Source organism: Homo sapiens, chromosome 14, assembly GCF_000001405.40.
Source record: "Homo sapiens chromosome 14, GRCh38.p14 Primary Assembly".
Lineage (NCBI taxonomy): Eukaryota > Metazoa > Chordata > Mammalia > Primates > Hominidae > Homo > Homo sapiens.
In genome coordinates, this window is record NC_000014.9 from 19269748 (window position 1) to 19294674 (window position 24927).

At 37.5% G+C, this 24927-nt stretch overlaps 1 long non-coding RNA gene across 2 annotated transcripts in view; it reads right to left on the reverse strand.

The window, feature by feature from the left end:
* LINC01297-DUXAP10-NBEAP6 (LINC01297-DUXAP10-NBEAP6 readthrough) overlaps positions 1-24927 on the reverse strand; it is a 115486-nt gene that overhangs the window by 945 nt on the left and 89614 nt on the right. The gene's annotated exons all lie outside the window — the stretch shown is intronic.

The window sequence follows — 24927 nt, forward strand, 5'->3', positions numbered from 1 at the left end:
TTTTTATTGATTATTATTTTCATTATCTCAGCAAGAGGAATGCGGTAAGAGAGCAGGGTGATAATAAGGAGAAGGTCAGCAAAAAAACATGTGAGCAGAAGAATCTATGTCATAATTAAGTTCAAGGGGAGGTACTATGCCTGGATGTGCACGTAGGCCAGATTATGTTTCTCTCTGCCCAAATATCTCAGTGCAGTAAAGAATAACAAGGCAGCATTGCTGCCAACATGTCTCGCCTCCCGCCATAGGGCAGTTTTTCTCCTTTCTCAGAACTGAACAAATGTACAATCGGGTTTTATACCGAGACATTCAGTTCCCAGGGACAGGCAGGAGACAGTGGCCTTCCTCTATCTCAACTGCAAGAGGCTTTCCTCTTTTACTAATCCAACTCAGCACAGACCCTACACGGGTGTCAGGCTGGGGGACGGTCAAGTCTTTCTCATCCCATGAGGCCATATTTCAGACTATCACATGGGGAGAAACCTTGGACAATACCTGGCTTTCCAGGGCAGAGGTCCCTGTGGCTTTCCACACAGTGCACTGTGCCCCTGGTTTATCGAGACTAGAGAATGGCGATGACTTTTACCAAGCATACTGCTTATAAACATTTTGTTAACAAGGCACGTCCTGCACAGCCCTAGATCTCTTAAACCTTGATTCCATACAACACATGTTTTTGTGAGCTCAATGTTGGGGCAAAGTGGCTGGGGCAAAGTTACAAATTAACAGCATCTCAGTGAAGCAATTGTTCAAGGTACAGGTCAAAATGGAATTTCTTATGTCTTCTCTTTCTACATAGACACAGTAACAGTCTGAGCTCTCTTTCTTTTCCCTACAAACAGAAATCTAATTTTCACATAAATGGGAAAGGGTGATTTCAAATCTAGTAAATCAGAGCAAACTACAGCATGTGATTCCTGGATGGGATTCAGGAAAAATTCCTAAAAAGAGGGTTTGGCCTTTAAAAGTGATAATCAACAGAAAATATAGAATTTACTAAGGATAAATTTTAAGACATGAAATTCATTTTCCTTTTTGATATTACTAGTCTTACAGATAAAGAGATGTAACTGGGGCATAATCTCCATATATAGAAGATGAAGAAACATGAAACTGATACAACTTACAATAAATGTTGTAATAATGAAATGAATGTTAAAAATAAGTTGAACAGAAATATGCAAGGTCTTGTAATGCTTTTTTTTTTAAGCACAAATGTGAATTGGGTAAAGAAAGCTGATTTAACAGCAACACATTTGACTTCAATATTATGGCAAATGAGTCCAAAGTCATACTGCCCCTCCCGTTTGGTATTTTAAGTACAGTAATAGACAAATACACACAGAATAAAATAACATAATAATACTCTGTTACTCTCTGTTGATCGAATCCCATAAGAACTATTATATTCAGTTATAAGCATCATTCTTAAAAAAGAACACTGTCAAACTGGATATCCTTTTGGTCTAAAGAATGATAAGATTTAGGAATAAAATAATAATCATATACAACACCTCACAAATTCAAAGTAATTAATTCCTTTGTTCATTCAATAAATAATTTATTAAGGTCTAGAAGTTACTGTTCTGGGAACTAGAATATATGAACATCCAAGATAAAGACCATGCACTAACAGTGCTAAATTCTAGGAACAAAGATTTATATGTATGTATGCATACACTACTTTATTCCAAAAAAACACTGAAGGTGGCTACAAGTTATGTAAAGCATGAAGGAAGGCATAAAATATGAGTAGATGAGAAAAGAGGAAGCAAAGGAAAACAAGATTAGGAACAGACAGGGAGTAGAATTAGGATCAAGAAGTAGAATTAATTTCCTATCACTGAAAGGTATTCGCAAATACGGACAGGTCACCACAGAATATGATATAAATAAGATAAATAGTAACAATACCACCACCTAACCTTACATGGCGTTTAGTCCTGTTTTAAAGGTTTTACATCCATTATGACACTATTCTTATCTTCATTTTACAGAGAAGGCATCATAGGCACAGAGTTATAAGTATGTTGAAGAATGTTACAAAACCGGTAAGAGACCCAGGATCCAAGCACAAGACGTCTGTCTTCGTGCAAGTTCATATAAACATTACAATCTCATTTAAGAATATTTTTTTAGGAGGGAGGTGAGACAAGACGGCAGAACAGAAAACTCCACAGATCATCCTCCTACCCCTACCACAAGGATACTAAGTTAACAAACAACTACACAGGAAAAAGCATCTTCCTAAGAGCTAAAAATCAGGTGAGCACTCACAGTACCTCGTTTTAACCTCGTATCACTGAAAGAGACACTGAAAAGACAGAAAAACAGTTCCGAGTCTCCGATGCCACCCCTCCCTGACCCCAGCAGTGTGGCTTGGTGCCAAGAGCACCTCTGGGTGCTGGTGAAGGGAGAACAGAGCAATTGTGAGGCACTGAACTCAGTGCCATTTTGTTGCAGCAAAAAGGAAAACCTGACCAAACTAAGCTGAAGTCCACACAAAAGAAGGCATGTCAACCAGCCTTAGCCAGAGGGCAATCACTGATACCAGCAGTCCAAACCTGACTGCCCGCAAACCTCAGTACCAAAGGCCACAGTGCTCTTGTTGTCTAAGTAAATTGGAAAGGTAGTCTAGGCCATAAGGACTGCACCTCATAGGTGAGTCCTAGTGCTGAACTAGGCCCAAAGACAATGGACTGAAGTGGCATGGGACATACTGAGATACCAGCTGGGGCAGCTAAGGGAATGTTGGCATCACCTCTCCCCTAACCTGAGACTGCACAGCTTGTGGATCCAAAAGAAACCCCTTCCTTCCACTTGAGAAGAGGAGAGGGAAGAGTTGGGAGGAGTTTGTCTTGCATCTTGCTTATCAGCTCTGCCACAGAAGGACAGGGCACCTTGAGGTCATGAGGCCCTTGTTCCAGGCTCTAGCTCTGGGATGACATTTCTAGATACACCCTGAGCCAGAAGGAAACCCACTGCCTTGAAGGAAAGGACCCAGTCCTGGCAGCATTCATCATCTGCTAACTGAAGAGCCCTTGGGTCCTGAATAACCAGCAGTGATACCCGGGTACTACGTTGAGGACCTTGGTGAGCTTCTGAGACTTGTTGGCTTCAGGTGAGACTATGCACATTACCAGCTGTGGTGGCTATGGGGCAAAACTCCTTCCACTTGATAAAAACAGAAGGAAGAGTAAAGGGGACTTTGTTTTGCATCTTAGGTACCAACACCACCACTGTGGGGTAGAGCACCAAGTGGGCTTTTGGGTTCCCAATTCTAGGACTTGACTCTTGGACAGCATTTCTAGACCTGCCCTTGGCCAAAGGGGAGCCCACTGCCCTGACGGGTGAGTCCCAGGCCAGGCAGCATTCACCACAAGCTGATATAAGAGCCTTTGGTCCTTAAGGGAACATCGGTGGTACTTTGGCAGTACTCCTCATGGCCAGGTGTGGCGGTGGCTACGGGGTAAGGCTCCTCAGCTTTTGGAAAGGGGAAAAAGTGGAAAGAGTGGGAAGGATTGTGTCTTGTGGTTTGAGTGCCAGCTCAGCCACAGTACAACAGAATGCCAAGTAGATTTCTAAGTTTTTTGACTCTAGTCCCTGACTCCTCTATGGCATCTGTGGACCCACTGGTGGCCAGGGGGACTTTGCCACCCTGAAGAGAAGGACACAGGCCCAGCCGACTTTTCTACCTGCCAATTGTAGAGCCCCAGGGCCTTGAGTGAATATAGGCTATAGCCAAGGAGTGATTAAGGCAGGCCTTGGGCAAGACCCAGCACTGTGCTTGCTTCAGGTGTGACCCAGTACCTGAAGTGGTGGTGGTGGTGGTCATAGGGGTGCTTGTATCATACATCATACCAGCCCCAGCTTTAGGTGTCTCAGAACAGAGAGAGAGAGAGACTCTGTGTTCTTGGGAGAAAGTAAGGGAAGAGAAAAAGAGACTCTGCCTGGTAATCCAGAGAATCACCCCAGATCTTATCCAAGGCCATCAAGGCAGTACCTCTACAAGTCTGCAAGAACCAGTGTCACTGGAAAGCCTTCCCAAGAAGGATGGCTACAAATAAGCTCAGGCAATGAAGAGTACAATAAATACCTAACTCTTCAATGCTCGGGCCCCGAGGAACATCTACTAGCATTAACACCATCCAGAAAAACATGACCTCACCAAACGAACTAAATAAGGCACCAAGAATCAATCCTCGAGAAACAAAGATATGTGACCTTTCACATGGAGAATTCAAAATAGCTGCGTTGAGGAAACTCAAAGAAATTCAAGATAACACAGAGAAGGGATTCAGAATTCTATCAGATAAATTTAACAAAGATATTGAAATAATTTTAAAAAATCGAGCAGAAATGCTGGAGCTCAAAAATGCAATTGGCATACTTAAGAATTCATCAAGTCCTTCAAGAGCAAATTGGATCAAGCAGAGGAAAGAATTAATGAGCTTCTGAAGAAAGGCTATTTGAAAACACACAGAGGAGAAAAAAGAATAAAAACCAATGACACATGCTTACATGATCTAGGGAATAGCCTCAAAAGGGCAAATCTAAGAGGTATTGGCCTTGAAAAAGAGGTAGAGAACAGGGTGAGAAAGTTTATTTTGAGTAAACCTTCAAATAACAGAGAACTACCCAAATCTAGAGAAAATATCCAAATACAAGAAAGTTATAGAATACCAAGCAGATTTAACCCAAAGAAGTCTACCTCAAGACATTTAATAATCAAACGCCCAAAGGTCAAGAATAAAATAAGAATCCTAAAAGCTGCAAGAGAAAAGAAACAATAACATACAAAGGAGCCCCAATACATCTGGCAGCAGACTTTTCAGTGAAAACCTTATATGCCAGGAGACAGTGGCATGACATATTTACATTGCTGAGGGAAAAAAACTTTTACCCTAGAATAACATATCCAGTGAAAATATCATTTGACCATGAAGAGGAAATAAAGACTTTCCCAAACAAATAAAAGCTAAGGGATTTCAACAACAGCAGACCTGTCCTACAAGAAATGCTAAAGGGGGTACTCCAATCAGAAAGAAAAGGGCATTAATGAGCAATAAATGATCACCTGAAAATACAAAACTTACTGGTAATATAAGTACACAGAAAAATACAGAATATTATAAACACTGTTACTGTGGTTTGCAAACTACTCTTATCCTAGGTAGAAAGACTAAATGATGAATTAAACAACAATAATAACTACAACAACTTTTCAAGACATAGGCAGTAGAAGATATAAACAGAAACGACAAAAAGTTAAAAAGCAAGGAAATGAAGTTAAGGCAAGTTTCTACTAGTTTTCTTTTTGCTTGTTTGTTTGCTTATGCAAATAGTGTCATGTTATCAGGTTAAAATAATGAGTGATAAGATAGCATTTGCAAGGCTCATGGTAACCTCAAACCAAAAAACATACAATGGACACACAAAAAAATAAAAATCAAGAAACTAAATCACCAGAGAAAATCATCTTCACTAGAGGAAGACAAGAATGCAAGAAAGAAGACCACAAAACAACCAGAAAACCAAAAACAAAATGGCAAGAGTAGATCCTTACTTAATAATAACAGTGAATGTAAATACACTAAACTCTCCACTCAAAAGACACAGACTAAAAGGATGAAAAGACAAGACCAATTGATCTGTTGCCTAAAAGAAACACACTTCACCTATAGAGACACACAAAGACTGAAAACAAACAGATGGAAAAAGATATCCCATGCCAAAGAAAAACAAAAAAAGAGCAAAAGTCACTACACTTATATCAGACAAAAGAAATTTCAAGACAAAAACTAACTATAAAAAGAGACAAAGAAGGTCACTATATAAAGATAAGGGGGTCAGTTAAGCAAGATGATATAATAATTTCAATATATATTCACCCATCACTGGAGCACCCAGATATATAAAGGAAATATTACTACAGCTAAAGACAGCTATAGGCTCCATAATATCTGCAGACTTCAAAACCTCACTTTCAGCATTGGACACATCTTCCAGAAAGAAAACAAAGAAACATCAGAATTAATCTTCACTACAGACCAAATTGAGCTAATAGATATTTACAGAACATTTCATCCAGAAGCTGCAGAATACACATTATTTTCCTTAGCACATGGATCAGTTGAAAAGACAGACCATATGTTAGGTCACAAAACAAATCTTGAAATATTCCAAAAAAATGAAATAATATAAAGCATCTTCTCTGACAACAATGGAATAAAACTAGAACTACCAAGAGAAGTTTCAGAAACTATACAGATACATGGAAATCAAACAATACGCTCCTGAATGACAAGTGGGTCAATGAAGAAATTAAGAAGGAAATTGAAAAATTTCTTGAAACAAATAATAATAGGAACACAACATACCAAAATCTAAGGGATACAAGAAAAGTTGTACTAAGAGGGATGTTTATAAGTGCCAATATCAAAAAAGAGGAAAAATATCAAATAGACAATCAAATGCTGCATCTTAAAGGACTGAAGTATCAAGAGCACACCAAATCCAAAATTAACAGAAGAAAAGAAATAATAAAGATCAGAGCAGAAATACATAAAATTGAAATAAAAAAATACAAAAGATCAAAGAAATGAAAAGTTTATTTTTTGGAAAGCTAACGAAAATTGACAAATCTTTAGCCAGACTAAGAGAGAAGATCCAAATAAAGCAAAACAGAAATAAAAAAGGAGACATTACATCTGATACTGCAAAAGTTCAAAGGATCATTATCAGCTACTGTGGGCAACTACATGCAAATTAGTTGGGAAATCTAGAAGAAATTTATGAATTGCTACACACATAAAACTACCAAGATTGAACCAGGAAGAAATCCAAAACCTGAACAGACTAATAACAAGTTACAAGACTGAAGTTGTAATAAAAGTCTCCCAGTAAAGAAAAGTCTGGGAAATGATAGCTTCACTGTTGAATTCTAACCAAACATTTAAAGAACTAATATTAATCCCACTCAAACTATTCTGAAAAATAGAAGAGAAGGGCATCCTTCCAAATAGAGGAGGAAGGAATACTTCCAAACTCATTCTATGAGGCCAGTATTACCCTGTTACCAAAACCAGTCACAGACACAAATTTTTAAAAATATATTTATTGACTGACCAAAAAATAGAACAAATGAGGAATTCTTACCCCAATTTTGTTCGTTATAAATATTTATAATATGTCTCTAGTTCTACAGTAAGGATATAAGCTTGGTTAGTTACATGGCTTTAACAAGTTTACATCAAAAAATATCTCATAAGCCACTGGCACTCTGAAAAAGGTACTGTGATGCATTTCATTGGTTTCATTATAATAAGGTCTCTTGTAAAAATTGTCACTAAGCAAAAAATAACATAACTCTGGGCTACTAGAAAATCCTTAGTTCTTCATAAGTACAACAAACAAGCACCTAACAGTAGAATTAAATTGGACATACTGCCAGAAATTACAACAATGAATGCAAATTTGAATACTAGCTTCATAGTTCTCAGCCTCAAAAGTGAGAACCTTAAAAGGTAAAAAGACTTTGGGATGACAGTTTCAGTAACACTTGGTTGGGAAAAGATTAGTAAAAATACAAAGAATAACTTTATTCTTAGTTTTTCCTAAAAATGAATTATTAGGCAAAAATATAATGGATATCATGTCTGTAACTCATAAATTACTGACATTACACAGCATAAATATTTTTAAACAACTACATTTACATGTAAGAGTTTTTGAGATATTAGCTTGCTGGTCTAGAAGCAAAATAATTACCACTTGGGGAATAATCGTAAGGAAGAATGAGTTCATATATCAATGTGCAATGGAATCAGAGTATCCACATTTTAAAACTGAAAAAGATGTTACAAACCATCTATTTGAATTGCTCCCTTCATGGAGAGCCTAGCTAGGCTTTTATAGAGACAAATGGATACTGTTTAAGTGACTTTTAATATTTCAAAAAGTATCACGTATCATATCTCACTGGAAAACAAAGTCATATTTATTTAATAGAAATAACAGTAGAAACTGGAGAAGAAGGTAAGGTAAGAAATAATTTTAAAAATTAAATGTTGGTAATCATGGAATCCCTACACCAAGGTCAAAAACTAAGGTAACAGACAGGTAGAATATCAAATTTCCTGACTAGTCCAGTGATCTTGCCTACCTCCACACTACTTTGAATACAGGACATAAATAATAGATTTAACAAATGTCAAATGTTTACAATAGTGACCATGGAGCAATGAGATTACTGGCGACTTTCCATTTCTTCTTCACATGTATTTTTAAATGATTTGCAATGAGCACATATACTATTATAATAAAAACATACACACACATGCACACACACATTCACACACATTTAATAGTGAGTCTTCCTAAAGCAAAACCTATAATTGGACAAATCATGTTCAGAAATATGATTTTCCCATGTTTCCTTTTCCATTCACATAATCTTGGAGTATGTTTCGTCATTTATAAAACAAGGGTAATGGTTGGTTCTTACACTATGTTTCACTAATTATTGCTGGGACCACTCAAAAGATAGATGTAAAAGTAAATCTACTAACCGATTATGCAATGAGTGCCACTCATGTGGTATCTAATAAACAGTCTTCATTCACTAGAAACGTAAGAGATTTTTTTTTTTTTTTTTGAGACGGAGTCTCGCTCTGTCACCCAGGCTGGAGTGCAGTGGCGCGATCTCGGCTCGCTGCAGGCTCCGCTCCCCGGGGTTCACGCCATTCTCCTGCCTCAGCCTCCCGAGTAGCTGGGACTACAGGCGCCCTTAAAAGCCTAAAGGAGAACTAACATTTTATTCCTTACTACACCTATCTATTGAATGTATTTTGCAAGCCATGTGTAGTTTCAAGGTACAGGAAATGTAGCGGTAAATGAAACAAAGTCCCTGTCCTCATATAGCTTATGTTCTAATACAGGTCACAGACAATAAACTAGTAAAATGTATATAAATAATATGATTTCAGAAAATGATACTTTTTTATGGTATTTATTTTTATGAAAAAAATATAGTCTTGTAGTAATTTGTTATACAATTTTTTCCTGACTACCTTAGCACTACTTGAAGGCAGGGACTATAGCTTATAAATAAACTCTGCAGCAATAAGCTATGCTCATTGATTGATACATGGTAAATACTTGATAAATGTCTCAATTAAGGAAAGAAAGGAGGAAATAACTTAAAGGTAAAAATTCAATACATTCAGTAGTTTGATACAGATTACTTACATTACAAGGCAATGTCACATATTAAAGGAAGAAAAACAAAAGGTTTTAAAGTCAGAATAAAATCATTCCTCTAAAGGACTGTTAAATTCCCTAAAACATGATTTTGGGGGAATAATAAGGTCCTCAAAACTAGCATTCAAAGTATTAAACCATCATTGTTGTGTTAAGTAAATTATTTGGCCTCTTGGAGTCTTGATTTTCTTACCAATGAAATAGGAATGAGAGCATAGGAATGAACAGCTCTCATTATAGAAAGGGGTTGTAAGCACAAATGAGATAAATTATGATCCTTTGAAAAGTACAAAGTATTACAGAGAAAGCAATAGCATTAATTCTGGCAGCAGTCTGGAATGGAGCAGTAATTCCAGTCATCTGGAAATACAGGCAGTAGTGAGTCATGGCTACAGACTCAGAGCAGGGAACTGGTTTGGATAAAGTGTGTGACAAGTTGTGGGGGATATTAAAAGGAGCTAGGCAGGGTCAGGCATGGTGGCTCACGCCTGTAATCCCAGCAGTTTGGGAGGCCGAGGCGGGCGGATCACCTGAGGTAGGAAGTTCGAGACCAGCCTGGCCAACATGGGGAAATCCCGTCTCTACTAAAAATACAAAAATCAGCCGAGCGTGGTGGTGCATGCCTGCAATCCCCGCTACTCGGGAGGCTGAGGCAGGTGAATCGCTTGAACCCGGGAGGCAGAGGTTGCAGTGGCCACTGCACCACTCCAGCCTGGACAACAGAGCAAGACTCTGTCTCAAAAAAAAAAAAAAAAAAAAAAAAATCGGAGCTAGGCAGGTTCCACACCCAGAGCTAGTGGTCAGGAATCAAATGGCAAGGAATCAAATCTAGTCATACAAGCCACAGTCGGGTCAAACCTGAAAAGACAGTTGCAGTGACCATGGATCCTCAAGAACAGAATAGGAAGGCAATATAAAGTTTGGTAAACAGTCAGGAATCTGGAAATGTGATGAACAAAAAGAAGGATAATGTAAATGAGAGGCCAAATTGGAGATCTTCAAAAATGCAGCAAGGCAGTTTTGTGCATCAGCTCCAGTGTATGTATAAGGATCCTTTGAAGGAAAGCATTCACTCTTGAGGAGCAGGTGCTCAGGATTACATGATTGAGGTAAGGGAATGTAGGTGGAGCCGAACCAACACTTTCTCCTCAAGAAAATTCTGGCAATAAATATCTTAGCCAGTTTTTAGAAGAATCTTTCCAGTCATTCATTTTCTAATTGGACAGCAAGATAAAGCTTCATCAAATCTCTAGACAAATTTCCCTTGGGACTTATGCCATGTTTTCATGATACCACAAAATATTTTGAAAGTAAAAAAACTCAACCGTCGATGTATGCACTCATTATTAGATCCTCAGTATGTATGGTTTCAGCTATGAATGAAAGCATTGCCTCCTTTCTTGTTGACCTGAGTTTACTAAGTAATTGGCTAAAGTTAATTAATGAATCAATTGTACTGTAGCAACATGCATGTGAATGCTAGGCAAAACCCTCCTGTGGATGGGAGAGAATTACTGTCTTTGGGTAACTGTTTGTTTGCTTTCTATCTCTACATTCAAAACTGACCACGGAATGCCACTAGCTAGACATGTGTAGTGACTACCAGCGAACCTCAGGGAGGCTCACTCAGGACTGGCTACCCCCAGGATGGAGGGGTGGCATGCCAGTAAGGAACCTGGCCTTAGCAGCAAGTTGGTTTTTTTTCTGCAAGTATCTTCTATTTCTTCTCCAACCAATTTTGTTCCCCTTGGTTGTTGGGAACCATTATACTGTTAGGTTAATGGATCATTGGTTTATCCACCTGTACATTTCCTGAATTTTCGCCATTCAACCATGCATTCCTGGTGACTGGGTTTATAAGTATTAGTTTCCTGGGTCCAACACCACATTTAGATATCTCTTAACTATAAATTGGTGTAGTAACCGTGATATATCGGCATAGAGATGGCTCCATCCATTAAAAATATATTGATATTGGTGGTTTCAAAAAATTGTATATTTGTTACTGGCATATAAAACAAATGAATGGCCAGATACAAAATTGTACAGAACCCAGATTAGTAGCTAATAAAGAATTAATAAAGAATATGAATTAATGTAGATATATTCATTTACATATTAATTGTTTTTTTCAAATTGGCCAAATTTTTTAAAACAATTACATATTAAAAACTGAGATATACGGAAATTCTAACTAATAGGTTTATAGTCATTCCTAGGGTAGGCATTAACACTTCTTGGTAAGTTCTGTAAGTTAATTATAGTTTAACTTCCTAACTAATTAATTCTGTAAGTCAATTTATAGTTTACCTTCCCAGAGGCTTTGGTGTCTTTTTTTACCCTCACTTTAAAATACACACAATAGTATATAATATATCACATTTGGTCAACAGTTCAAATTTTTTTATTCTTTAAAGCATGTACAAAAAATATACTAGTTAGAATTCCTGTGAAAAATTCTAATACAGAGGAATTATATGGCTATGTTTGGAAAGATAATATTTCTTTAAAAATGTGGTTTCTTTATGTTTTATGTTTGCAATAAGGATTATTTAAGTTTGATTGAAGAACTTCATGATTCTTGTGTATTATTTTCTTGTATTGAGAAATAGTGGCCCACTGTTGGGCTGTATTTAAAATTAATGTGTATGAAACAAGAAATATTTAATTAGAGTTATTAATTTTCCACAAGTAATATGTGTACTTGACCTAAATCAGTATCTTTTGTCATATCAGCCTCACATACAACAAGAATAATAGCAAGGACAACAACAACAAATTTGAATGTTTCCTTTGTGCCTATGCTCCTAACTATCATGTTATACTCATTCATATAAACCTAACAATTAATTTGAAGTTAGACACACAGGATTTACTCATCAGTATTAGAGCATTCGCTGTTATCCAGGAAGAAAACTATCCCTGGTGCTGAAACTGCTCTGTGTAGTCCTTGCGGTTGAAGAATTAAAAGTCTCTTTTAGACATTTCCTTTCATTGAAATTATGAATTGGATAAGTGTTCATACCTTAAAGGAAGTATTAAATTTCACATATGTTAACATCTTAATTAATATAAGATTAATATTCTACTTATGACTATGTTTTAATATTGAAAAATGAGTTTATGATGAGTTTCATTAGTTTCTAGAGAAAACAGTGGTTTAAAAAATTTCAGTCATAAGACATTGAAGAGTCTATGACTGTTCCAGAAATCTGAAAACATATACCACTAATCAAAAGTTTCTCCATTCATGTTGACTAGCATTTGCCTTAGGTGTCAGAATTAATGGATTTGTGTTAAAAATAAACACCTGAAATCTAATTCCCTAACTACATTATAACACACTTGATTTCAAGTTCTTAGCTTTTATTTAATGCTTCTAATGACTTTAAATTGTAGCAAAATGGGCTTCCCCCAAGAGCACTGCTTTGTTGATCCTGAGTTGGGGTCCTAAGCCAGAAGTTAACTATGCTTTCATATATTCTTGCAAGTAGAAGTACAGTGTTGGTGTAAATTCCCCTTAGATGGATAGCTAAGCCCAGAGGAAATAATGGTAATTGGAACCATATGACCGTATGCAATTCATGTGCATATTTATATCAAGAAAAGAACATTATAGGTCTGGTGAGACCCTATTTTGTTCTGACAATGTCATCTGTATTTACATGTCTGTTTCGGGAGTTTGGATGTCAAGGGATTCTGTGCTGGATTGTAAAGCATGTGCTTCTGCTTGATGTAGCTACTCAATTTTGTATTCCTGACTAATAAAGTCATAAACATAATTCAACCTCTGTGTGTGTGCTCTCCTTCCATTAATTTATACTTTAGCAAAAAGTATTGAATGTGTGTGTTATGTAACAATTTCCTATAAATTATATTAAATGATTTATTAGCTTTATTCAATAAAGTTTTAAGTGTTTTCTTCTATGACTACATTACTTGTTAACAAGAAATTTCTTTAACTGAAAACTTCAAGGAAGATTATCTGGGTAACTCTTTCAAAAAGAATTGTACCTGTATTTTGGGATTGAATATATTAATTTCTTGTACTGTTTTAACAGCACATAATTTTACAAGACAAGCCACTTTTTCAAAGCCTGCTTCTCCTCCCATTTTCCCTATCTCTGTGATTGACACCTCCAACCCCTGTAGCCTGCCTCTGCTCTCTCTTAACCAGTCCTACTGATACTACTTCCTAAGTATTTTTCAGCCCTGTCCTTCCTCTCCATCATGATGGATTCACTTCCAGTTGAAATCCTTATGGTACCCTCCCTGGATTATGGCAGTAATCAGAGAGCTGGTCTCCTTAACTCAGGATTCACTTCTTCTCATCTGTTGTTCACAGTGACATCAGAAAGATATTTTAAAATAATGAACTAGAATTAATTATATAAAACACACATACACACATAAATAATACTTAAATTTTTCAATGATGTTCCAATTATGTAAAATATAATATAGGAGGCACTTTATGTTCTGGCCTCAATCTTTCAATTCAAACTTATCTCCTGCCACTATCTCCTTTGAACATTGTATTCCAGCTACTTTAGAATAATAATAATATATAATATTCATAGAGCCCTTCCTGGGTTCCTATCACCGTACAAAATACTTCACATATAACATTTAATCTTTGACAACTTTATTAGGCATGCACAATTATTATCTATCTATATATCTATATCTATATATATAAAATCTATATTTTATAGATAAGAAAATAGAGGGTAAAAACTTGCCAAAATTACAAAGCTTAGAAGTGTAGCAGTTGGGATTTGAATCTAGGCATCCTGCTTCTATAGTCTACAGTGGCTTTCTTGTGCCAAAAGCCTTGCAGTTCCCTAGACTTAACATTTCTCAAAATCTGTGTCTTTCACATGCTCTTCCAATTGTCTGGAAAATCTTTCCCAACCTCAGTCTAACTGTGGTACTCATGTTCACCCCACAAGAATTGACTCCATCTGTCCCCTCTCCATGAAAATTTCTTTGAATCTCAGCACTTTGGGAGGCTGAGGCAGGTGGATCGCCTGAGCTCAGGAGTTCGAGATTGCCCTGGGCAACATGGTGAAACCCCGTCTTTACTAAAATACAAAAAACTCACCAGGTATGGTGGCACACGCCTGTAATTCCAGCTGCTCTGGAGGCTGAGGCAGGAGAATTACTTGAGCCTGGGAGGCAGAGGTTGCAGTGAGCCAAGATTGCACCACTGCACTCCACCTTGGGCTACAGAGTGAGATTCCGTCAAAAAAAAAAAAAAGAAAGAAAGAAGAAAGAAAGGAAGGAAGGGAGGAAGGAAGGAAGGAAGGAAGGAAGAAAAAGAAAGAAAGAAAGAAAGAAAGAAAGAAAGAAAGAAAGAAAGAAAGAAAGAAAGAAAGAAAAGAAAGAAAGGAAGAAAGTAAGTAACTTTCCCTGGTAAGGGCTCATGCCTTGGCACTGAGGGCATCTTGCAAAACTCAAGGATGCCACTTGGCATAGCAGATAGAAAATAATTGTGATATGAGACAGGCCTGAATTGGATTTATGGCTCTATTTCATATTGGTTTTGTGATTTTGGGAAAGTCATTTAATCTCTCCGAATTTTAGTTTCTTTAGGGATTAATAGTACCTTTTCCAGGGAGCTGTTATTAGGATGAGACAACGACCAGAACATAGCAAGAATTCATTAGTGCTCTCACCACCCTTCCCCCATTGCAGCCCTCAGTACCTGAATGGCAATCGTGCATCTTCTCATCGGCCTGGAATTGCTTCCCCTTTCATCTTTGGCTCTGCAGTATTCAGTGTCACTAGTGAAATGTGTGAAATGAATGAATCGACAACTGATGCTTAATACCTAATGAGACAAGTGAATGAATCCTTTTGTTCATTTTATGGCCAGAAAGATAGTGTAATTAAGTAATAACAACTGGCAAAAAAGAGAAACTCAACCTATACTTTGTCCTTTTCTCAAGTAGCATCTAAAACTTTTTCCCTCTGATTAAAAAATTATCACTGAAGGATCTCTTTGAATGTGTCTTGAATTTTATATAAGCAGATGATCACAGCTCAGCATAATATTAGAAGATTATATGATTTTAAAAATTGGTTCATAGTTTTATAGTCTTGGAATATCTATCTATCTGTCTGTCTGTCTGTCTGTCTATCTATCTAGGTATCTATCTATCTATCTACCTACCTACCTACTTACCTACCAATCTGTCATCTTCAAATATATTTAGGCTGCTTTCCTGAGGCTAATTTTTTATTCCATTCTTTCATCTTTTTCAAGATCCTGGTATTCCCTGGTGTATTGGGTCTAGGTATTTATGATTAGGAGAAGAAATGATTCAGTGGCAGCTCCCCAGGATTTTGAATTATGAGATATGAAACTAGAAATGGCAACTTAGGTGGATTGTTTGAGAACACTGTGTATTACTGCTTCTGTATCAACTTCTATTCTCCCTTGTTCATACTTTTTTAACACGCATTTTAAGCACTATATATTGGTGAACATTTGAACCCGAATCATATAACAATAGAAGATGCCATAGTTGGAAAGGCATAAAAGGTCATTCTAAATGTGTGAACAAATTAGAGAACTACAAAATTAGAGATCATCATAGCTATATTGCAGACAGACTTCATTGCTTTTCACAGAAATTAAGCCATAGATAACAATGACAGGTTGAAATAGGTCATGATTTCTAAAAATAATGTCATGTAAATTACCTATCTAAATACATTAAAATATGAATTATTTGAAAAAATGAATAGCAGGTCCTCAGAATAGCCCTACACATAAGTATCTAATAAAAGCATGAGTTCAAGAGCAGAATGTTAATGAAGCTCCCTGCCTTGGTTTCTTTAATAAGATTTTCTATTCCGCTTTCTGGAACTATTATGTTCCCATTATAAACTTTGTACCAAGTTAAAAGTAGGGCCCCTTTTGCCCCTTTTTTCTGTCTTCCTGGCTCTCTAGTCCTAGGAAGTTAAAAAGAGTCAGAAAATCCCATCTTTTCTTCTATGAAGTTTGGGAGAAAAGTCAAGATAGGCTATAAAGTGTTGCACGTGATAATCCAAGCATCCTTCTACTGATAGTAGAGTCTCATTATCCTTCCTCAGATATATGCAGTGATGAAAATAGATAATGAGAAAGCATGCATCCAAGTAACTCTTTGAGTGTATAAGGGCTGATTAAGTTGAAAGAAGATTGCCAGGCGAGGTGGCTCACGCCTGTAATCCCAGCACTTTGGGAGACTGAGGCAGGCAGATCACTTGAGGTCAGGATTTCGAGACCAGCCTCGCCAACATGGTGAAACCCCATCTCTACTAAAAATACAAAAAAATATTCGGGCGTGGTAGCGCATGCCTGTGATCCAGGTACTCGGGAGACTGAGGCAGGAGAATCACTTGAACCCAGGAGGCAGAGGTTGCAATGAGCTGAGATGATGCCACTGCACTCCAACCTGGGCAGAAGAGTGAAACTCCATTCAAAAAAATTGCAAAGTATCTACTAATCTAAAAAATGCACAGCCTCAGTTCTCAAAGAGTTTATGTTGTAGGATCACGTCAGTTCCATATATAATTTGTTTATCACAACTGCACACTGTTACTGAATCTGAAATGCTTCAAAATCTGAAAGTTTTGAGCACTTACATGATGCTCAAAGGAAATGTTCATTGGAGCATTTCAGATTTCAGATTTTCAAATTAAGGATACTCAACTGGTAAGTATAACGCAAATATTCCAAAATCTGAAAAATATCCAAAATCCAAAATACTTCTGGTCCCACGCATTTTCGATAAGGGATACTCAACAAGTATTTTAAAAGATCAAAATAAGGGTAAGAGAATATGGATATTTAAGCTTATGGTTACTTACATGGAACAGTTGAGGCCATTAAAAAATGTCTAAGACATAGGCAGTGGAAGGCTGAATTCAAGAAAAAGTCTCAGAGCTGAGGAAACAAAGAACCTATGAGGTTAAGGTGTTAAATGAGCCAACCACATGAGTGTGAAAGGGAGGCCAAATGAGAAAATGATGTTGCTTGGGTGTAGAGGAAGTTCTGGAATAAATGTGGCAGTTGTTAGAAGACATTATAGTTAGAAGGCATTATAGTTAGATGGATAGACAGTAAAGAAGGGGCTTTTGTATTAAAATAGAGGAATAGTGGTTGGGAATAGGAAATATGGAGCTAAAATTATGCCAACCCACTTCTATTAAATAAATTCTATGACACCTTAGCCTTTGGGAAAATGACTAGCCTTCAGTGGAGCACATGTCGAGGGAAGCATTGTCCTCATATAGATAGCTGAATTTTAATTAAAGCAAAGAAATGGAGTCAATGTCCTCTAATGAGGTTTCCAGAAGTCACATTGAAAATATTTGGGAGGGAGGGAAGATTGATTCAGAAGTAAAACACAGAGCAGTATGGAGATATGACACTGGAGAGCATAAATGAGTCGAGTTTTCAAAAAAATAGAACAAAATTTTTTGAAGTTAGTTGCCTATTAGCTTCCCTCACAGTTCTTAGGGAGATATAACTGAAGGCCTCCAAAGAATTTGTGTCTGTCCATAAGGTACAGAATAAATTTATTTCAAAGATCTCCTCCTCCCAGAGTTGATTATTTGACTTAGGGCAAAAGACCGAATGTAAATAGTAGCGAAACTGTCTCTGATATTATTGTAAGGAATAAAATAATTTTGCTTTGTAAATAAAATAGAATATTTTCTAGAGAGAACTGACCCAAACTCAATTTTAGGACTGGTCCTGAAATTCAGAAATGCCTTTCCCATATTGCCTAACTGTGCCTTTTTCACTGGAAAAAAAGTGCTGCCTTCAGGGAGCACGCCTCCCCAGAGATCAGTAAAATCAATGAGAAATGCAATGTCCATTTGTCAGTAAAGACATCTGAAGTTTGATGGGTTTCTTGGGACTGGATAACTAGTTAAAGATTCTAAAGAAAAATTAAGTGGGGCATAGAAACCAAAAATCTCAAGAGATCTTTGAAGAAGGAAACATGAAAAATGAGGACAAATTTAGAGAAATGTTGCTGGCATAGATGTTAACTTCCAGAAGAAGATGGAAATAGACTACCATGCAAAACAAAAAGACAGAAGAGAATATTAGCACTTTGTTGCAAAGGAGAATAGGTATGCTCTACTGGTAAGTATAATGCAAATATTCCAATATCTGAAAAAAATCCCAAATCCAAAATACTTCTGGTTCCCTGCATTTTGGACAAGGGATACTCAACAGGTATTTTAAAAGATCAAAATACAGATCACAGAATATGGATATTGAAGAATATGAGCAAACGAGAATAAGAAAAAATGTTGGAGGACTTTTAAAAATGTATAAAGGAATTAATGAATGCAATTAGTATTATTTTTTAAATCAGTCATTAATAGCCACTCGCCATGATTGCCAACCCCTTTGATGAGTACTAATTTCAAAATTATTAAGGAAAGGCAAATATTTAGACTCATACAGGTTAAAAGAAAATATTTTCAAAATTTCAAATTTAAGCTTATAAATGTTCTAATCTACTTTTGAATGTGTATTCGTGACCCAAGATTGGTTTTTTCCGGGCCCCATCATTCTAATGACTTTTTTTTTTTTTTGAGACAGAGTCTCTCTCTGTTGCCCAGGCTGGAGTGCAGTGGTGTTATCTCGACTCACTGCAACCTCCACATCCCAAGTTCAAGCAATTCTCCTGCCTCAGCCTCCCGAGTAGCTAGGACTACAGGCACATGCCACCATGTTCGGCTAATTTTTTTTTTCTTTTTTTTTTTTTTTAGTAGAGACAGGGTTTCACCATGTTAGCCAGGATGGTCTCGATCTCCTGACCTCATGATCTTCCTGCTTTGGCCTCCCAAAGTGCTGCGATTACAGGCGTGAGCCACTGCACCCAGCCCAGAGTTTTTTTTAACAAGGTTCTTCTCAGCAATTCTAGTATCCAGATATAGGCCCATCATAGACATCACACAAGCGTGTACTTCATAATCCTGGTGAATACAGAAGTTTCCTGGACTCCTTGATGAGCTACTGCTTTCGCTCCTATATCAGTGTTTTCAGCTGATGTCATTTGTGATTGTGTTTCTGACTTTCTGTAGGCAGAAAAAAACTTTCATTTTTTTTGCTTACATGCACATAAATGTAAGCGCTAATTCTTATATTAAACTGTTTATTTCTATAATACTTAATTGGCTGTTTTCCTGGCTGAACCAAACCAAGAGCATAAGGGATGATAACCTTCAAAACTGATTAAATTAGAGATCAATAAATGGAGCTGTTTTAATTCTATTATTCTTCTTTCATAGATTAAATAGAAAATTTTTGTAGATAGATTTTCTTCGCTGTCTCTTTGGTTACCATGAGGTACTGCTTGTAGTGAAAAGGTAGAATAAATACGTGATTCTTTCCCTTTATTTACCATTTTCTATTTATCAGTTACTCTTTTATTTGCCAGTTTTCTAAGTAGCAATATGGTTTCCTAAAATCCTAGAAAGTACTTGAAGAAATTAAAAATGGATTGACTTTTTAAAAATTAATTTTGGGAATTATTCTCCTGACTCTTCTCAGTCTGATGAAATTTTTCTGTAAGATGTTGTATTTTTAAGTACTAGAATTTTTTTTAAAGTTTTTATCTCTGCTGAGGCTTCACATCTGTTTGCTCAATTTTATTTTTATTTCAATCCTTGAGCATGTTTATAATATAGTAGTATCCCCTTATTGTGGCTTTACTTTCCTCACTTTCAGTCACCCACAGTCAAAAAATATGAAATATAAAACTCCAGAAGTAAACAGTTTATAAATTTTAAGTCACACCTTGTTCCGAGGAATGTGATGCAACCTCCCGCCATTCTGCTGTATCCAGTTCAGGATGTGACATACCCCTTTGCTCAGCAGATACACAATTCCTGCTTCCTGCTCATTAGACATTGGCAGCTGTCTAAGTTATCAGATGGACCTATCTCAGTATCGCAGTGTTTGTGTTCAAGTAACCCTTATTTTACTTAGTAATGGTCTCAATATGCAATAGTATTGATGCTGGCAATTCAGATATGCAAAAGAGAAACCTGAAAGTGCTTTCAGTAACTGAAAAGCAGAAAGTTTTGCACTTAATGAGGAAAAAGATATGCTGAGATTGCCAACATCTAGGGTAAGAACTATTCCTTTATTGGTACAATTGTGGAAAAGGAAAAATAAATTCTTGCTAGTTTCGCTTTTGTACCTCAAACTTCAAAAGTCACAGACACAGTGTGTAGTAAGTGCTAATGTAGGGTTCGGTATTATCCATGGTTTAAGACATCCACTGGAGGCCTTCCAAAGTATGCCCCACAGATAAAGAGGGAATACTGTAGTCTTTTTATGCTAATTCCAATACCTGCATAATGTATTTATTCTATTGACTGCATGCTTTAACATCATTATAAGCTCAATGATTTAAACATATAAGGTGTGCACCTGCTCATTGCAGTCATCATCATCATCATCATCATCATTATTTTGGTTTGTTTGTTTTTGAGACAGATCTTGCTTTATGGCCCATGCTGGAGTGCAGTGGCATAATCACAGCTCACCGCATCCTCAGACTCCTGGGCTTAGGTGACCCTGCCACCTCAGCCTCTCAAGTAGCTGGGACTACAGACACAAGCTACCATGCCTGGCTAATTTTTTGTTTTCTATTTTTGGTAGACAGAAGGTTTTACTATGTTGCCCAGGCTTGTCTTGAACACCTGGGCTAAAGCAATCCACCTGCCTTGGCTTCCCAAAGTGTTGGGCTTACAGGTGTGAACCACCGTGCCTGGCTTGTGGTCATCAATATTATTGATGCTTATATTAGTTCATGTTTGGAGAGTGGGACTTCCTTCAAGTTGCCTCTTGGATCCTATGGACACGATCCTAGGGGGTATAAAAGTGTCCTTGCATTCCAGTATGACGAGATGCTCTAGATTGATTTTGCACATTGCCTGCCTGCAGCCAGAAAGCAGCCATTTCTCCGAGAAGCTTTGGTTCCTTTTAGTGAATGATGACATGGAGAATCCAAAGTTATGGCACCAAGGTGCTTTCTGCTTCTGTTTTATTTAATGCTTCCAGGACTTTTCAGTGGATAAGTCTAAAAGATAAGTGTATTTTTTAATAAAAATTTATAACTTTTAAACAAACCTTTCGGTTAACAGTCTTGATTAGAGGATTTTAATTATGCTCAGAGATATTACATCTGTATCTTCTTCTATTTCATTAGGAAAGTACCAGTTTTCAATGTCACACCCATAATGAGATGGAGTCTAGCTCTGTCACCCTGGCTGGAGCGCAGTGGTGTGATCTAGGCTCACTGCAACCTCCACTTCCGGAGTTCAAGCAGTTCCCTACCTCAGCCTCCAGAGTAGCTGGGATTACAGGCAAACTCCACCACACCTGGCTAATTTTTGTATTTTTAGTAGAGACGTGGTTTCACCATGTTGGCCAGGCTGGTCTTGAACCACTGACCTCGTGATCCACCCACCTCGGTCCCCCAAAGTTCTGGGATTACAGGCACAAGCCACCGCGCCCGGCGCTTTTTTTTTTTTTTTTTTTTTTTTTTTTTTTTTTTTTTTTTTTCTGAGACGGAGTCTCGCTCTGTTGCCCAGGCTGGAGTGCAGTGGTGCAATCATTCTCCTGCCTCAGCCTACCGAGCAGCTGGGACTATAGGCACGTGCCACCATGCCTGGCTAATTTTTTGTATTTTTAGTGGAGACAGGGTTTCACCGTGTTAGCCAGGTAGGTCTTGATCTCCTGACTTCGTGATCCACCCGCCTCAGCCTCCCAAAGTGCTGGGATTATAAGCGTGAGCCACTGTGCCCAACCGATTTTTTTGTATTTTTAGTAAAGATGGGGGTTTCATCATCTTGGCTAGGCTGGTCTTGAACTCCTGATCTCGTGATCCACCCACCTCGGCCTCCCAAAGTGCTGGGATTACAAGCATGAGCCACCGTGCCCAGCCCCATAACTACTCTCTTTTTTTTTTCTTTTTCTTTTTTTTTTTTTTTTTTTTTGAGACGGAGTCTCACTCTGTCAGCAGGCTGGAGTGCAATGGCACCACCTCGGCTCACTGCAACCTCCACCTCTGGAGTTTAAGCAATTCTCCTGCCTCAGCCCCCTGAGTAGCTGGGACTACAGGCACATGCCACCACGCCCAGCTAATTTTTGTATTTTTAGTAGAGAGGGGGTTTCACCATGTTGGCCAGGATGGTCTCAATCTCTTCACCTTGTGATCTGCCCATCTCAGCCTCCCAAAGTGCTGGGAACTAATCATTTTTTTAAAATCCTGCAATATAAGACAAACCAATAGCCTAAGACTAAAAATACAGCCTTCTGAAAAATAATAAGCAATCTGAGATTATTTTTGTGCATTATTTTGTTCTTAGGCTATATTTCATCATGAATATACAGTCATATTATTGCTTTTTAAAGTCAGTGTAATTCTGATTGACAGATGACATAAATATATTGATTAGAAAATAAAATGTTATTTTCCAACCATTCCTAGACAGTGTTCTAACATGACTAACTTTAATTGCCAGAAGTAAAAGCTTTTATTTTACATGATTACACTTCATTGTACTAGAATATATCACAATCTCTATTTCCTTGAGACAAACAGTTTCCCTAATATGGTATTATAAAACTGTTTAAACATATAAAAATGTTGTGGGAAGTGCATATTTATAGTCCAACCACTTAGATTGTACAATTATCATTTTGTTATATTTGCTTTACTACATATCTCTCACTCTATCCACCATTCTATCCAATTATCAACTCACCGTTTCTTATTTATGTCAAAGTATATATTTTTCTTACATACTTAACATATGTAGCATTATTGTTCAGTATTTGTGTACAGCTCATTTTTTTTAAGTTACTAAGGTTTTTTATTAACACCTCAGAGTAGAGGTTATGAAAGGACCCTGAATTGTTCTAGGAATTTTCTTCAGTGAGCATTTGTGAAGACTCGGGGATCAAGGTTGGGTTAAACTTTGTGATGGGTCCATTGGCAGTCTAGTCACAAGCACCTCCTCGATCCTTAGGTCCCAGCGGAAAATGATGCCAGACTCTTAAACTGCCACAACGTAGCCTGGAAAGAACTCTACAGTCCAGAAAGAGCCTGGAAAGTGGTTTTGTGAGATGAAATTTACTCCTGGTGAAAATGCTGTGAATATTGTTTAGCCTACAACAAAGGATTTAGAATATTGATAAACATAGTAAAACAGTGGCAGGGTGTGAGAAGACTGACTCCAATTTTGAAAGAAGTTCTACTATGGGTAAAATGCTTATCATACAGTATCGCATGGTACACTGAAATCTTTCGTGGAAGGAAGAGTCAGTTAATGTGGCAAATTTCATTGTTTTCTTTTAAGAAATTGTGACAACCACTTCAATATTCAGCAACCATCGCCCTTATCAGGCAGCAGCCAACAACATCAAGGCAAGACCCTTCACCAGCAAAAAGACTAAGACTCTCTGAAGGCTCAGGTGATCATTAGCATTTTCAGCAATAAAAGATTTTTCTATTTTTTCTTTGTTTTAAATAATAGAGCTTCAAGTAAGGGCAGCAAGTAGTTTTTCTTCTTTTTCTTTCTGTTTTTCTTTTTTCTTTTCTTTTTTTAAAGACGTGTTTTGCCATGTTGTCCAGGCTGGTCTTGAACTCCTGAATTCAAGTAATCAACCTGTCTTGGCCTCCCAAAGTGATGGGATTACAGGCATGAGCCACCGAACCCAGCCAGCATCAAGAGTTTTAAAATTAAGGACATAACGCCATTTCACACTTTAAATAGACTATAGTGTAGTGTAAACATAGCTTCTTTTTTTAAATAGAGACAGGATCTCCCTATATGCCCAGGTTGATCTCACAATTCCTGGGCTCAAGTGACCCTCCCGCCTCCGTCTCCTAAAGTACTGGGATTATAGGCATGAGCCATCACACCCAGCCAATATAACTTCATATTCACAAGGAAACAAAACAATTTGTGTGACTCACTTTGTAGCAATATCTGCTTTATTGTGGTGGTCTCGAATCAAATCTACAATATCTTTGAGGTATGGCTGTACTTTCTAAGCATTTCCTGAGTCAGCCTACTTTTTCTCCATTTTTATTGCCACTATTCTATCTATTTTTTGTTTTGTTTTGTTTTGTTTTCTTGTTGTTGTTTGGAAACAGGAACTTGCTGTGTCACCCAGGCTGGAGTGCAGTAGCACGATCATAGCTCACAGCAGCCTCGATCTCCTATGTTGAAACCATCCTCCTGTCTCAGGCTCCTGAGTAGCTGAGACTACGGGTGCATGCTACCACACCTGGCTCATTTTTAAAAAGATGTTTTTAGAGATGGGGTCGCATGATGTTGCCCAGGCTGATCTGGAACTCCTGGCCTCAAACAATTATTCCACCTCAGCCTCCTGAGTAGCTAGGGTCGATCCACTGTTGAAGAGTACATGGATGTTACTTCGCAGACTGTCAACCTGAATTTGTATTTGCTTGACATTGCCTAATTATTAGTTTCAGTTTCAGCTTACCCACTTTTTGTCTGCAACATGCAGAAGAGACAGTGCCCTTTTTAGTGTATCATATCAGGAATCATCTCACATTGGTTTGTGCCATTACTGGTGCAGTGACTTTCAGCCACTTGGGTAAGGTGGAGTTG